The sequence below is a fragment of the Homo sapiens genome, chromosome 1 (genome assembly GCF_000001405.40).
Source record: "Homo sapiens chromosome 1, GRCh38.p14 Primary Assembly".
Lineage (NCBI taxonomy): Eukaryota > Metazoa > Chordata > Mammalia > Primates > Hominidae > Homo > Homo sapiens.
The window spans coordinates 65596202-65612678 of record NC_000001.11 but is presented as its reverse complement, the minus strand read 5'-3'; the positions used below and the strand labels follow the sequence as shown (position 1 = coordinate 65612678).

At 34.8% G+C, this 16477-nt stretch overlaps 1 protein-coding gene across 6 annotated transcripts in view; it reads right to left on the bottom strand.

The window, feature by feature from the left end:
* Positions 1-16477, bottom strand: part of LEPR (leptin receptor) — a 220908-nt gene that overhangs the window by 28881 nt on the left and 175550 nt on the right. For all 6 annotated transcript variants that reach the window (NM_001003679.3, NM_001003680.3, NM_002303.6 and 3 more), the window contains 8 exons: positions 16086-16231; positions 13875-14019; positions 10997-11287; positions 10719-10836; positions 7442-7641; positions 3778-3926; positions 2573-2732; positions 2383-2465 (listed from right to left, as the gene is read on the bottom strand). In NM_001003679.3, the coding sequence (NP_001003679.1) occupies positions 2383-2465; positions 2573-2732; positions 3778-3926; positions 7442-7641; positions 10719-10836; positions 10997-11287; positions 13875-14019; positions 16086-16231 (1292 nt within the window). The remainder of the gene's footprint in view (positions 1-2382; positions 2466-2572; positions 2733-3777; positions 3927-7441; positions 7642-10718; positions 10837-10996; positions 11288-13874; positions 14020-16085; positions 16232-16477) is intronic.

The following is a 16477-nucleotide window of genomic DNA, read 5'->3' as shown; positions in this document are numbered from 1 at the left end:
ATCTAAGAAACTTTTGCAACCAAGAGAAGCATAAGGAGGTATGACACATAACCCTAAATTAATCATGAGAAAACATTAGACAAAACCCATTTGATGGAGATTCTACAAAATACCCGACCAGTACTTCTCAATTGTGTCAAGTTCATAAAAACAAAGAAGATCTAAGAAACTTTTGCAACCAAGAGAAGCATAAGGAGGTATGACTACTAAATGAAATCTGCTATCCTGGATGGAATCCTGAACCAGAAAAAGAACATTGGGTAAAAGCTAAGGAAATTTGGATTTGAAATAAATTACAGATGAGTTAATGATGACATATCAATATTGTTTAATTCATTGTAACAAATGTATCATACTAGCCTAAGATGTTAATACTAGAGAAAACTTGGTGTGGGAATACATAGGAATTCTCTGTACTATCTTTGCCGTCTTTTTGTAACTCTAAAACTGCCTTAACGTAAAGTTTATTATTTTAAAAATGCCAGAGAAATGATATTTTTTAAAAAGTGCCATACTTATCCTGTGGCCTTGTGGCTTACTCCTTAAGCAAATCTTATCCCGGTTTAAGAGGCATAGGCTTGGAGAACCGTAATCATTGAACTATTATCTCAGTTTAGGAAAACACAACAAAACAGCACAAAACAAAATTAATGAAAGGCAAATTGACTAATAAAAGGCATTCAAGGTTCTGCAAAGATGGTAGATTAGCAAGGGTCCTGTCTCCCTCCCACAAATCACCCCTAAAGAACCCATAGAGCTTTGTTGTCCAAAAAGATAGCCACTGGCCACTTGCAGCCATTTAAATTTAAATTAATCAAAATTAAATACAATTTAAAATTCAGTTGCTGAGTCACACTAGGCACATTTCAAGTGCTTAATAACCACATGTGGCTGGTTGCTACCATATTGGACAATGCAGATATAAACCATTTTCATCATTACAGAAACTTCTATTGGCAGCATTGCTGAGGAAATGTGGAATCCATGATATGAGGAAAACATAAGAACTGTCTGGAGAAAGACAACTGTTTTGTTCTAGAGTATATTGCAATGGGAGAGGGTAGCTGTAGCCTAGGCCAAAGGGCTGTTGACTACAGCTCTGAGAGGACAAATCAAAGAAAAAGAAAAGCTACTTAAATTCTGCTCATAGCTGGCCCTACCACAAACATGGGAACATCACTGCCTGTCCTTCACTGTAGAAGTTTGCAGGTATCTGGAACAGTGCCCATGGAGATAAAACCAAAAATATGAGAAAAATAATCTGTCGGGCAAGACTCTTGTTTCTTATTCAGCAGTGCCCCCTTCCGCGGTGGGTTCAACCGCCCACTCAATCTCTCAGAATACAGGTCCTGAATTCCCCGGGAGGTGGAGATCTGTATGAAGTGTTCAGAATACAATAAATGGCTCATAAATGTCTGTCAGTTCTAATGCTAACTTTAAGTTGGAAATATTAAAATGTGTTGAAGGAATGGTTTGCTAGAAAAAGAAAAGAGAGCAATAACAAAAGAAACTAAATTTTTTAAGGAGAGCAATGATAAAAGAAATGAAATAAAAGAATAAAAAATTATTTTAAGAAATATTGAAATGGAAGACTTTAGAAATTGCATTGATTATTCACCAAATGAAATTATAGAGTAACTGGATTTAGAAACCAAATGAACATAAATTCTTATATACCACAACTTTTACAGAGGCTTTGGTCTTACATCAGGAAACCATTTTCAAACATGTGCTCATTCAACCTTGGGTATTAAACTTACAATTCACATTTGGAGTGACAGAAATACTCTTTGACTTCATGTGTTGTATTCCCAAGTCAATCTTAAATTTGGCATTTACTGACCAAATAAACTATTCACTTGAAATAGAAATCAGTTCATTTGGGAGAGGATGCTTTGAAAATTACTAGGCTAAACAGCCATCATATATGGGACTATCCACTGTTTTTATGCCATCACATAAATGGAATACTCTGTCATGTGTTAGATGCCCTTGGGGTGTGCGGGGAAGGTGACATTTACATTGTTCAGGATTAAATATGAATACAATTTTTAGACTCCAAGAAACACTGCCTATCATCTAGTTCAATATTACATTTACACAGATGAGAAAACTGAGGCCCAAAGAGTCTAAGTAACTTTGCCCAAATAGTACTGACGTAACTATAATATGTGAAGCTAAGAAGAGAATGAAAGTCTCCTAACACTATGCCAGTGCTTCAGCCACTGTACATCTTAGCTCTCTTTAAATACATCTCATAAATGCAATGAAAATACAGGATTGTTGAGCTTTCCGAAGATTAATAACAGGATTATGGACCATGAAGTAAATTTTTAAGAGTATAAAAATACAATTTAAGATTAATATTAAAATTGGGAATACCTTCCAAAGTAAAGTGACATTTTTCTCCTTTTTCATAGTATCTCCATTAATTATTCTCCAAAATTCAGGTCCTCTCATAGGAACTGCAAAATGACAAGTTGTGTATATGTTTTTGAAGAAATACTTTTCAGCCATATTTGAAGCACACACTTATGCACTTTCAAAACACATTTACAAAATCTCTGCAGACCTTTTATATCCATGACAACTGTGTAGGCTGGATTGCTCCAATTACTCCAATATCCCAGTCCATCTAGCCTCTTACAGCGCACCTGAACAGCATAGACTGCACACAAGTCTGGAACTGGGAGACTGACAGATTTTGATTTTGCATCATAAACCTCATACATCTGTAAAATAAGTCAAAGCATTAGATTGATCATTACCAACACATATGTATCTAAAGGGCCCTGAAGTACATTTTATTTTAAACCTTAACACTATTCCAAAATTAAGAGAACTGATTCTGTGTTCTCTGCCTTCAGAAATAGTCACAATTAGGCTTGGATTGTAAACTCCTTCAAGTCAAGGATTTTCTTATTTATCTTGTCACTCCCTTGCTGATGATGACAAGATTTTGAACTGGTTTACTTGCAACCTTGTTTCCCAAACACTCTCTTACCCTCCTACTAATCCCTGTCCACTAATCCTCTACCCACAAAGATGTTTTAAGAATTTAAAAAGAATTTAAACGTATTGGTTAGATAGGACCTACTGTAGCAAATCGCTGATATTCAGTATTCTTCAATAGCAGCTAAACTGTCACATTTGTTTTAGTTGATATCATTGTGATCTAATGATACAATAAGGGTTTCTGATATTTCTAGGTCTTTGCAGGCTGCCGTCACAAAGCTGATGTGGAATGCCATGATAGGCACACTTGCCACTACGGGAATGACTCTGTTTGTTTGAAAAGCAGCTTCTTCCAAAATGCATTCCACTAAACATGTATGTACTAAAAGATATCAACAGATGTTAGAGAAACAACAGTTCCTTGGAAAAATTAGTTTGGGGAACATGAGATGAAATAAGGTCACAAATTTTTCTTTAATGAAGGACCTCTCCAAACCTTGAATATGTAATATGTATACCGTGACTACACAAGGAAGATACAGTGATACAGGGTTTCCTAAACTGATTTAGCCATTTAATCTTTTTCCAAGGAACATAATATGCAACCAACGTTCTATAAAACACACTTCAGGGAATGATGGATTTCAGGAAACTTTGTTCTTTAAAAAAGTTAGACTTAGATAAATCTATTTAATGAAAATAGCTACACAATACAGGAGAATGTACTTTTATGCCAATAAAATTAATCTAATGCAATTAAACTCTTACATATTATAAAAATAGCATTTAATGAGGAAAGCTGAAGTTCTAAGTAAAAGGTACCTTCCATTGTACTTCTTTTCCACTTAAACCATAGCGAATCTGGAATTGAAGGTTATTCTCTGGAAAGACTGGCTTTTCCCAAGATATTTTCAATAATCCAATGTTTATAGTAATTTCTGCTTTCACACTGGATGGAGGCAGTGGCTTCACTAGAAATTTTTACAATAGTATTAAGTGATGGTAATTTAAATAGTAATAATGCCTAAAAACATTGTGTTATATTTTCATACATCTGTATTCATCAAGCAATATCTTCTTCATAACTTTCTCACTCATTATCTCATTTGTTTCCCTATTACTTTATGTGATATATTAAAAGAGGGATTTATCTCTTTTTCGCAAATATAGACTTGACTGAAAAAAGTCAATACATTATTCATGTTACTCTGAAAGCTAGTAGTAGTACCTGATTAGAAATTGAACCATTGGCTCTGCAAGCAAAAGATAACATGCCGATCCTGGCTAACACGGTGAAACCCCGTCTCTACTAAAAAATACAAAAAATTAGCCACGCGTGGTGGCGGGCGCCTGTAGTCCCAGCTACTCAGGAGGCTGAGGCAGGAGAATGGCATGAACCCGGGAGGTGAAGCTTGCAGTGAGCCGAGATTGCGCCACTGCACTCCAGCCTGGGCGACAGAGCCAGACTCCGTCTCAAAAAAAAAAAAAAAGATACCATGCTGAACACATGCTAAATATCAATAACAAACTGTTCTCCATTGAACTTTAATTAAAGGCAAAAAAAAAAAAAACCCATGGACTGCATCAATTTCCATATGTGTGAGTGTGAAACTCTTATGCTGCTGTGTATCATTAAATATTTCTAGGTCAAGGTCAGAGATAGTCTCTCAGAGCAAAGCCTTGGTTTTCTATAATCTGAGGAAAACAGGCTTTTAATGGGCAGTAATAGAGGCAAAGATGGTCTGAATAGCAAGTGATTTTTAAAATAGATACGTATATGTACATAACAAGACATGTTTAAAGGTGTAATGTAAAAATCATAGAAATGCAAAGAAAAAGGTTATCTTCCCTGTTTTCCTATCACCTTTTTATGATGCTGCTTTCAGAGCTAAAGTAAAAACTACCTTAGGCTTAGATTCACTACATAAGTTTTCCCCCAAGTTCTTAATTTTTAACTTTGAGGGCCAATCTTCCTGACAATAACAGGCAATATGGAAATGTGGCATATTTTAAACTAAAAGCCTGAAAGCCCAAGCATAACAGTGCGTCTCTGAAGCCCTAACTCTGTTATGACTCCAAGCATCAACTTTATGATACACACTACATTTACATAGTCATGTCTTGATTATCTGCACTAAGACTAGAAGATTCCATTTAGAGGACATATATTCAGTTGGTATGTCAAAACAGTTGTTAAAAATATTAAGTACATCCATACCAACTGGTAAAGAGGTGCTCTCCTGAGGAATATCTCCTCCAGAACTGCTCAGGTTGGATGCCCTCCACACCTGCCCACGGCTCAGAACCTAAAAGGTCAATGCCTGGTACAGCAGAGGCCTCTGGGATTGCAGCTGGAATGGCCCTCCTCTTGGTCATTATTTTGACAGTCACCCCTGCCAGTGGACAATCTAAAGTGAGAGATGGCCCTTGGCTGGAATATGCAGGAAACAACTGCAGTAGCAAAAAGGGAAGCTGAAGGGCTAATGTATGAAACCATCCAACCAACAAACCACCACCAACAAAAAGAAACCTAAATAACCCAAACCATAACTAAGGCCAAATGTAGACACTCTGTGTAAGAAAAATTAAGAGAGAACTGACGATAGAGTTCCAGGGTTTACCTTCTTGATTTATTTCCCCATGTCTTATAAATCATGCTACTGTTATGATTCACAGGGAAAACTTAATACCTGGATTGGCACAATATGGGTGTTTATTATTCTCTTGCTCCAAGTCTCACTTGCCAAAAACCAACACTGTGTAAAGGTATAGTCTCCCTTTCATATGGTATTTTAAAATCATTTTTAAGCAATCAACAATAATACTTTTGACTGTTGATAACAAAAATACCTAAACTTTTTCCGTCATGTAAAGTTTATCATGATTATTCAATTCTTCATAGAACAAAAAGACATTCTCCACCAACCCAGGAAGATGATATATACTGTATTTCACCTCTTGATAATTTCTTGTCAGGAAAGGAAGTATCAATATTCAAGAGACTGTAAGAGGTTAAATCTGTGTTTGCAATTAACTGAATCATATGAATCATATCCTTTCTGCAGACTGGCAGTGAATATCCAGTCTGCAGAAAGGATATGCTTGAAGTTCAATAGTTTACGTGATTCCCTCAATACCCATGCTGGGAAGGTATGAGGAGCTGTCTACATTTTATGGATGACAAAACAGACACATAGTGCCTGTGTGGCTAGTCCGGATTTAAAGGCTAGTAATAAGTGGAGATGGTATTTGGATCCCAACGTTGAGTTACTTTCTAGTACTAAGTAGGCAATATAAGCCCAACCTAAACTCGTTATTTTAGTTTTGAAAAGGATAACACCATAGGTTATTCAAGTAACATATGTTACTGAATCCAGGCTTCATTTGTCATATCTTATAAGTGAGTGTGTTATTATCTGTGCATGTTTGGGGGAGTGTAGGAGGGTTCCTTGCTATCCTGGGATATTAAGTATCACTGCAGTAAAAATCACTTAAAATGGAATTAAACAGTGGGGAGAGAATTCATTGGGACTTTACATTGAAAAAGAAATCTTATAATTAAGACAATCTTATCGTGTATTTTTTGGTTATAGGTTTTAATTCAAATGTGTATTAATTAATTGAAAAATAATGACTCAAATATTGATTTTTGACATAATCCCCCAACAAAATAGTATATATTAATATTTTTATGGAACATTATTCTAACATGTTTCCTACTGAGGAATATTTTATTTGAGGGGAAAATTCACTGAAAATCCCATTTTTGTTTTGTTTTTAGACATCTTATCTTGAAAACAAACATTTAGAAAAGATCTACAAAAGCTTCCTTAGTTATACATATGTAACAGCACCAAAAGATATTTTTGCATTCCTGTTGCACAATCATTTCTCAGAGATTTCACAATGAACCGGAAAGAATATATCACATTTTCCAAGGGCTCTCTTAATATCTTTGAAATCAAAAGTTTTTTGAAAAGAATGTTTAAAATATAATGTATGTCATTGTTGTCTATTTCCTCCACTTCAATTTAGCTATTTTAAATGCTTCTGTGCCCTACATAGCCTCACAAATTAAAGGCTTGAGTTATGAGTACTCAGATTATTGAGAACCTCAGAATATTCAAATTAAACGTTTGGATTACAAATATTACATGTTTTCATAACTACATTGGAACAAAAACATAAAATAATGCCTTATTTAGAAAAACACTACTAAAATTCATTCATAATGACCCATGTATTTCATCTAATAGTGTGCAGAAAATATTCCTATTGCTAAAAAAAGTCTGCTATAAATAATTTGAAATGAATTCAAAACTGTAAAACTTCCTAAGGCTGATTTTCTCAATACCACTGTAAACAGGAACAATTTTTTTTTCAAAATCTAATGTGATCAGAAAATGGCAAAATATAACATTAAATCTGCATCAATCTGCATACAAATCTGCTAACACAAATGAAGACACAACGCAGCTTGACATACCCACAGAATCAGGAAGGACACATGTTGGTGGAGAGTCAAGTGAACCTAGAGAGTGATTGATCCTAATCCACATTGTGTAGCCAGATAATAGGAAGATTGGCTGGAAAATGCATTCATAAAAACCATCACTCTGCAAATAGCAATCTTTGGGCTCAGATATGGGATGAATAGATGGAATATCAGAACAGTAAAGGCTGCTCCTTTAAAAGATACAAAAATAGTCAATTAGTATACATTAATAAAAGCAACAAGAAGATATCTGAGAATTCTGATTTGTTGTTTAAAACAGCAGTCCCCAACCTTTTTGGCACCAGGGACCGGTTTCATGGAAGACAATTTTTCCACTAATGGGGGATGGGAGATGGTTCAGGATTTCGGGATGAAACTGTTCCACTTCAGATCACCAGGCATTAGATTCTCATGAGGAGCGCATGCCCAGTTCACAATAGGGTTCTGCTCCTCTAAGAATCTAATGCTGCGCTGATCTGACAGGAGGTGGAGCGCAGGTGGTAATGCTGCTCTCTCACCTCCCGCTTTGTGGCCGGGTTCCTAAGAGGCCACAGACAGGTACCGGTCCGTGGCCCAGGGACTGGGGACCCCAAGTTTAAAAGACAGGCAGAAGGCCCGGTGCGGTGGCTCATGCCTGTAATCCCAGCACTTTGGGAGGCTGAGGCGGGCTGATCACTTGAGCCCAGGAGTTCCAGACCAGCCTGGGCAACATGGGGAAACCCTGTCTCTACAAATGCACATCTGTAGTCCTGGCTACTAGGGAGGCTGAGGCAGGAGAATCGCTTGAACTGGGGAGGCGGAGGTTGCAGTGAACGGAGATGGTACCACTGCACTGCAGCCTGGGCGACAGAGGGAGACTGTCTCAAAAACAAAATAAAATTAAATTAAATTAAATTAAAATAAATAAAATACAGACAATTTCACTCCATCTAAAAAAAGACATTCTTATTAGAAAGGCATTTTTTAATTTTTCCCAATTCTATATCTTTCCACAGAAACTGACAGTAACTCTTATTAAATATTTCATTAGACACTAAGCAGGGATGCAAATGAAATAAATACTCTAAAAAGAAGAAAATGATCCAGTTAGAGACAGAACCTACAATAATTTGAAAATTAAACAAACATTATGTATTAGTGATAGAATATTTAAAATATAGATGAAAGTAGTCATGGAGCATTCCTGAGATGGCAAGGAAGGCAAATTCCTCACACTTTGAAGAAAGAATTAAATTTCACCACAAATGAGTGGTGAATATAATTTTCTAGTTCAAATTAATATAAGTTAATATAATACCAATTTCAGATATGTATGTGAATTATATAACCATGTATATTCCTCATTTTCTCAGAAAAGAAAATTTAAAAAAAATTTTATAAGTGAGTCCTAGCCAACACTCCACCTCAGAACCCATAAAGCAGGGGTGTCCAATCTTTTGGCTTCCCTAGGCCACACTGGAAGAAGAACTGTCTTGGGCCACACATAAAATATACTAACGATAGCTGATGAATCAAAAAAAAAAAAAAAAACCAGTTGCAAAAAAAATCTCCTAATGTTTTCAGACAGTTTATAAATTTGTGTTGGGCTGCATTCAAAGCTATCCTAGTCCACATGGGGGCCCCAGGCCATGGGTTGGACAAACTTGACATAAAGTCTTTTTCCTCTTCTTTGAAATAACCTCTTGGGCCAATGTTTGCTCTGAATACTATATTTAAATAGCTGAAGTAGCAATTACTCTTTCCAAAGAGATGGGAGTGAGGAAGTTAGAAGAAGCTAAAAAATCTATATTCTTCTGTCATTTTCTATTTTCTATACCACTTCTTTTTCTTGTCTTCTCAAAATTACAATCATGAATGTGTGTGTGTGTGTGTGTGTGAATAAATGGTGGTGCGTGGGCAAAAATGAAAATGAGGAGTGAGGGGTCATCTGGGGGTAGAAAATAAGAACAAAGTAGAAGCACAGTACTAGTACACTTGAAATCGAAAAGTTGGCATCATTATCATGACAGCAAAAACCATATATTGAATATTTACAAGGAGAAATTATACCATGTGATTATAATTAGATGAAATATGTCATTAACTCTCGCAGAAACACTGTAAGTCCTATTATTCTCTCTGTTTTACAGACAAGGAAATTGAGGCTTAGGGAAGTTAAGAAACTCACCCAAGTAAATGTAGTTTCATAGTTATTCTGTAAATGTTAATAAGAGAAACAAGGCATGGGGCTTAACATAATAGTTTTCCATAAACACCTTTTCTAATGTGAAAATGCCATGAAAAGAATGTAAAGACAGATTATAAAAGTAAAATTTCATATCATGAACAATTCTACTGATTTTAAAATACTCATATTAGGTAGGATGAAGGCAGCTATTTGAGAAATGTACGAATTGCCACATTTTTTTCCTAACGCTACATAAGAAGAGACTGGCAGCATTAGGAATAGACTTCAGATCACAGTATTTGAGAGAAGGGATTTATTTTTCTAGTTGAAAATTTATATTTTAAGAATAAATGAGCATGTTATACAAATTGAAAGTCTCCACTACAAATAAAAATATAAATTGGGACACAGTGTTTAACAGCAGTATATATTTACTTGACTACTACTATGGGATATTTTTAAAAATAAAAATCTATTATATAATCAAGGGTTGTATCATTTTAGATAAAATGATTTTAGAAAGAAAGGGACCACTATAAGACGATGCCTTGAATTCTTTTTAAAACATAGAAGAGTAAAAATAAACAAGCACAAATTACTTCTCATTAGAACACATTACCCTTTATTAACCATAAGTATTTATTTCCTAAGTAATCTCACTCAGTTCTAAAAACCATTCATATTATCTCTTATAATCTGTTTTTACCTCTTTTTTCCAAAACATTAATCTTTAGCCAAATGATACGAAACTTTTATAATCTTTCACATTCTCCTCTAGTCAACTAAGTCAAATTAAAATATATATAAACTACATTTTCTTGCATTTCATTCAAGAGTTAAAATACAAATTTTTCAGAATTGATTGATTTTCAGAAAAGATAATTTGAAGTAAAAACAAATTACAATTTTTTAATCTCAGGTGTGAATATTTTTCAAGAATCACCAATTTATATAATCCCTCAAAAATTTCCTGATTCATTATATTATACTTTCCTCTTTCAGGAAGCAAATAATCTGTAAGACTACTGTTGTAATATTTCTAAAGAAAATTTTTATCTCACTGTGCCCACAGAAAAACAAAACAGCAAAAATAATACGTACCTATGATACCTCAATTGCAAAGTGCTTTCCGCAAGTGACTGGATTGTACTGGTTGACCATCTGCAAGTCATTTTAGTTAAGTACCCATCAGTTTCACATGAGATATTGATATTGACATCTATTTGAAACATATTAAAATATTAATATAAAGCAAAAACTCCAAAAAATTCAATGAAAAAAATTTTTTCTTACATCTTTAACAGGACTCTAATATAAGGAGGGTCCATAATGAAAATTCAAGTTGTGGAACAAAATGAACAAAACCTCTGTTTTCTTACCAATCACATATAATTCAGCATAGCGATGATGGCATTCATGTTCATTGCAGCAGTACACTGCATCATAGGTAAACTTTCCTCGAGGTTTGGTTTCATTCAGATTGAAAAAAGTAACTTTGCTAACATGATCACTCACAACATCATACTGGCTTTGAGGAATTTTCTCAGCTAAATTCATCCACCAAACAATCTCTTTTGAGGGAACAATCTTGTTTTCCTTCTTATAGATGCAGTGAAAAGAAACATTAGACCCAACACTTGTCAGAATTTTAGGTGGAAAGTATATGACATCTGTAATGAGGGAAGAAAGGATATCAGATGAAGACAAAACATTCTGTAAGTAATTTGTACCACATCGAAAAATATTCACAACACATTCCAGAGTTACACTGCCAAAAATAAAATGAGTGTAATTTAAAAACTGGATAATGCTGAAATTACCTGTTTGTGTACAGTTATCTAGTGTCCCGAGTGCTCTCATTCTAAAGTGAGTTGAGCTTCCATGAATGTCTTTACTATCTTCTAAACACAGAGGCTTATTCATCATAAAATATGTTTTAGCCAGTAATTGTCACTTGCTAACTGATAGGCAGGAAAGTGACTAAAACAAAATATAGCTTAATTCAACAATGACATATTTTCCAACAGACCCTGCTTTGGGAATCAGTGAAACTAGGACAAGTTCTTAAAGCAAATCACTATGAAGCCAAATCCTGAAGTAAAAATGATTGCCGCTATTGTCTTGTTTGGATACATAAAAATTTCAAGTAAGTAGGTAAAGATACGAGATATAAATTAAAAAATAGGAATGTCGTATGAATGATAATGCAGCAATATACAAAGCAGAGAAAATGGGAAATACTGGTTTGTACTATCATTTTGAGTTATTTAATGCCAATATCCTATGGATGAGGGTAAAGGGAAGCGATATTTTCCTAAAACATGATTTTTTTAATGCCTACACATGATTCTATACTATTTTTAAAGTCCTCTGTTGTTGTAAATTTCATTTGCCTATCATTTTCAAAGACATGCGAGATACAAGTAAATGATGGTTTACATAGGAAGAAATTATTTCCACCACAGTGCACTGCAAAAACGTCAGTACATTTCAGTTGTAAAGTTAAGGTAAACCATTTTCTGTTGATAGACTATGAAAATTTGTTTTCACACATATCTTGGGATTACCCTTAAAAACAGAAACAAAAATACTTTAATTGGTTTTTATTAAGTTTTCTTTATTCTGTAATAGCATGGTAAACGTCAATGTCTATATATTTACAATTCATACAAAACATTTGTGTTTTGTATGTCCATAATCAAATAGAAACAGGAAAAAACTTAGTAGCATAAAATTACTGCACAGGAGCCAGACCATTAGATTTATGAGCGTGACTGAGTATAATCCTAGCCGAGGTGGCACTCAAGCTTCACTTGTACATTACTTACTGTGGACAAGTACCTAGTACATTAACCTATCTTAACCTACCTTCAGTATGCGCCACAACCTCCTTACTCAACTGCCTCAAAAGTCTCAGAATAATTCTTATTTAAAAATAAAAAATATAATTGAGTTTTCATGGATTAAGCTGAAGTTTTTCATTTTAAAGATGACAAGAAAATTCAAAGCATTTCACTTTGAAATCAAATACATATAGTAAGGCTTAACTGAGAAATAAGATTAAAGTCATAGTATTTTTACATGATTAGATGCTAAAATATTAGCTTAAAATAAGAAAACTAAGTTAATAAAAACCTGACAATTTGTGAAATTTACACTGGATAAATTTATTGAAATTGATATGAGATATTGAATATTTAATTTGCAAAATTTTAATAATATAGATACACATTTTATCTGCATATGACATACTATGCAATTTTTAATTTGCAGAATAAGAAAACAATAATGGTTTTCTTCACATGACCAATGTTAATTATTTCATTTCATTATTTAATTTTATATGGATATTTCATATCCATGTAAAACATCCCTATTTTACAGATAAGGAAATTAAGGCATAGAAAGGTTAAGAAACTTTCCAAATAAGTGGTGGAGCCAGAACTCCTATAAACTTCTGTTGGACTCCGAAGTCAATGTCTTAAACTACTATTGCTACTTGCCTTTTGACGAATCAATGCTTTTAAAATAGTAAGCAATCAACAAGTAAACTTGTTAAATGGATTGATATTTGCATGGTACCTGTTATCTCTGTACAGGCCATAATCAATCTCAGTAAGTCTGAACAAGAAAAATTTTGCCCTTTTGACAGATCGGACAACCAGCCAAAGGACTATTGTCTTTCTATAGTCCCAACTTTGCATGCAACAGGTCTAGGACCATTCCAAGCCTCTGGAGCCTCTATGCAAAACTTTGCGCATCAGCTGCATGAAGAAGCTGTGAATGAACTGTAGATGTTCCGATGCTAAAAATAACCTTTAAAATATGAACATTGGCACTGAAAACTCTCAAAAGCAAGCATCTGGAGTAAAAATAATTCATTTATTATATAATATAAAGTAAAATGTTAATATTTGAATTTTATGTCAAATAAATATGCTTGGTTTTAAAATGTAAATTAAGGAATTATCAATACAAATGGCTTTCTGAGTTTGTTAATTTGGAGCTGTTATATTAATTTTTTCTTTTTAATAGGAAAAGTGATCCTACAATATACTGCAATAGAAACACACAAGCCTAGAGGCTCTGACAGAATTTTAATTCACAAATTGGCCTGTTCAAAGTTTAAACAAGGAAGTTGATACTGTGTTCCTCCTTTCATTTTAAGGCCTCAAAATGTAAGATGCTTATACTATACAAAGGCAAGTTCAGGAAATATATTTCCCTCCCAGTAGAAGTGGCTATTACATAACCTACCTTGTGTGGTAAAGACACGAGGAGTACTCCAGTCACTCCAGATTCCTGGGCCATCCAGTCTCTTGCCCCTCACCTGAACCTCATACGAAGACCCAGGAAGTATACTGTCTACTAGCAGGGATGTAGCTGAGACAATCTTGTCAGCCTGTTAAATATTATATTAAAACATCAGAACATCAAGTTGATGTGGAACCTTTACTAAAAGTGAGGATAAGCTAATCTCATCAAATTTCAAAGAATTAATATCTTACACAGTAGTTATCTGGCCACAGCGGAATTAAAACAAACATCAATAACCAAAAAAAAAGTTTGCACATTAGTCAATAAAATTTTAAATAGCCCATGGGTCCAAGAAAAAATCATAATGATAATTAACAAATACTGTTAATTGAATCATGATGAATATATGACCTTTAGAATTTTAAGAAATGCAGCTAAAATCTGTGGGAAGCTTTAAGCCACTACTGACACCTATAACACACACCTGGTAGAAAATGCTGTGCAGGGGTAGACAAAGAACTACAAGTGTCCCTGTACAGAAGAGCATGAAAAGTCTTAAGAACCTGAGCCTGGTCAGGCATGGTGGCTCATGCCTGTAATCCCAACACTTTGGGAGACCGAAGTGGGTAGACCACTTGAGCCCAGGAGTTCAAGACCAGCCTGAGCAACATAGTGATACCTCATCTCTTAAAAAAAAAAAAAAAAAAAAGAGGCAGGAGGATCACTTGAGCCTAGGAGATCAAAATTCAGCTTCCCAAAAATGTACTCCAAAGTTAATAAATTCTCTGGCTCTAATGACTGCTCTTGGGGTAAGGGGAGCATGTCACAGACTAAAAATTATGAAAAGCATCAGGAATGCATAAAACAACATCAGATATTAATAACTCCTATTTAAAATCCTCAAGTTCACAAATTATCTCCAGTTTACAGATAAGAAAGCTGAAACCCACAGAAGCCTTAACTCTGTTTTCTCCATATGTGACACTGAGGATTCCCATCATTCTCTTTGTGAAAATAAAATGTTTTAAATTTTTTTGCCAGTTCTAAAAAGACTGATTTTTACTTCTAAATTATATGAAACTTAGTTTCACAAAGTAAAGTGCCAAAGTATTCACATGGCCCAAGAGGCCTTTCATTGAGCTCCACATTCTCTTCCCCTGCTGGCCTCTGAATTCAACCACTACTGCTGTCACCTTCACTGCCCTCAGCCACACCATCCTTTGCACTGCTGTTCTCCCTGTTTAGAACCCAACTACCCAGATATCTACATTACCATCTCCTTCACATCCTTGCTCAAATGTCACCCTCCCCAACCTCCATTTATTATTGCAACCTTCCATTCCCTACCAGCACCCCCAGATTCCTCTTATCCTGTCCTGCTATCTCAGTGTATCCTGATGCAAGCAGAACAGTTCCAGGCATGTAGCAGGTGTTCAATAAATACTTACGGAACGAACTGTTAAAGAAAAAGAGAAAGGAAGTAAGGAAGACTTTATTTGGAATCATCACAATAGGTATATGGAGCACTGCAATGGGGTCTTGTGGTGGGTCGGGGTATGTGGGCTAAGTCCAAACACAGCATGGACAACAGGGAATTTATAGCCAAGAAGGAGGGAGTAGATAGAAAATTACTAAGCAAAAACATCATGGTAAGAGGGATTCTGGCTAAACTGACCTAACAGAATTCTTGCTGAAGACAGGCCATGGTGATCAAACATCATTTGGGGAATGGTGGAGGATGAGAAATCTGATCAAATATTCATCAGATATCCAGGGTGGGGGTGTTCCTGCTAAAATGACCTAGCAGAGTTCTTTGCTAAAACTGGATTTTACAGGAATGTGCACAGATCGGGCTAGCAGAAGATTCAGAAGCTCGACTAATGATTAGCCAAGCAAAAATCTTTCTGTTGCCACATTCAGAAAAACATTCAAATAGATTGAGCAATTAAAAAAAAGATGAAATCAGTGGTCTGTTGGTGGAAAATAATTGTAATTATGAATTCAAGTTTCTGTAACTAGATTTCCTATAGCCATATATATACATACGTATATCTATCTATATATGATATATAATATGAAATGTTGAATTATAATTCATTCTGCTTTAGAAGAAATGTATATATTTAGTATGCAGAGGGTAATTGCTATGGGACTTAAGAGGGTCTTTATTTACTTCTCAACTTTTCCTTTTACTTACTAAAATATACTTACTTCTCTGATAACTGTTGTAGAATTCTCTGAATATTTCACTTGATATTGAAGTGGAAATGGTACCAATGGTGGGCTGGACCAAGAAATCTTTAAATTACCATCATCTGTGATTTCCATATGCAAACCTAATGGTGGATCAGGCTTCACTTAAGGAAAAAAAAGAGAATACTTTTAAGTCAAGTAATTTTCATGACAATTATAGCTGAATAAAATAAAGTCAAGATAAATTTTCATCATATCTTGCCTTTCAAGTACTTAAAAGGTGACTTTATCCAAGGACTAATTATAGAACCGAAACAAGCTTGAATACTGGGTCTCGTCCTTGTACCTTATCATAGCAATCCATGTATATTCATTACCCTCCCCTTAAGTGGTAAAGACTATGAATCAGT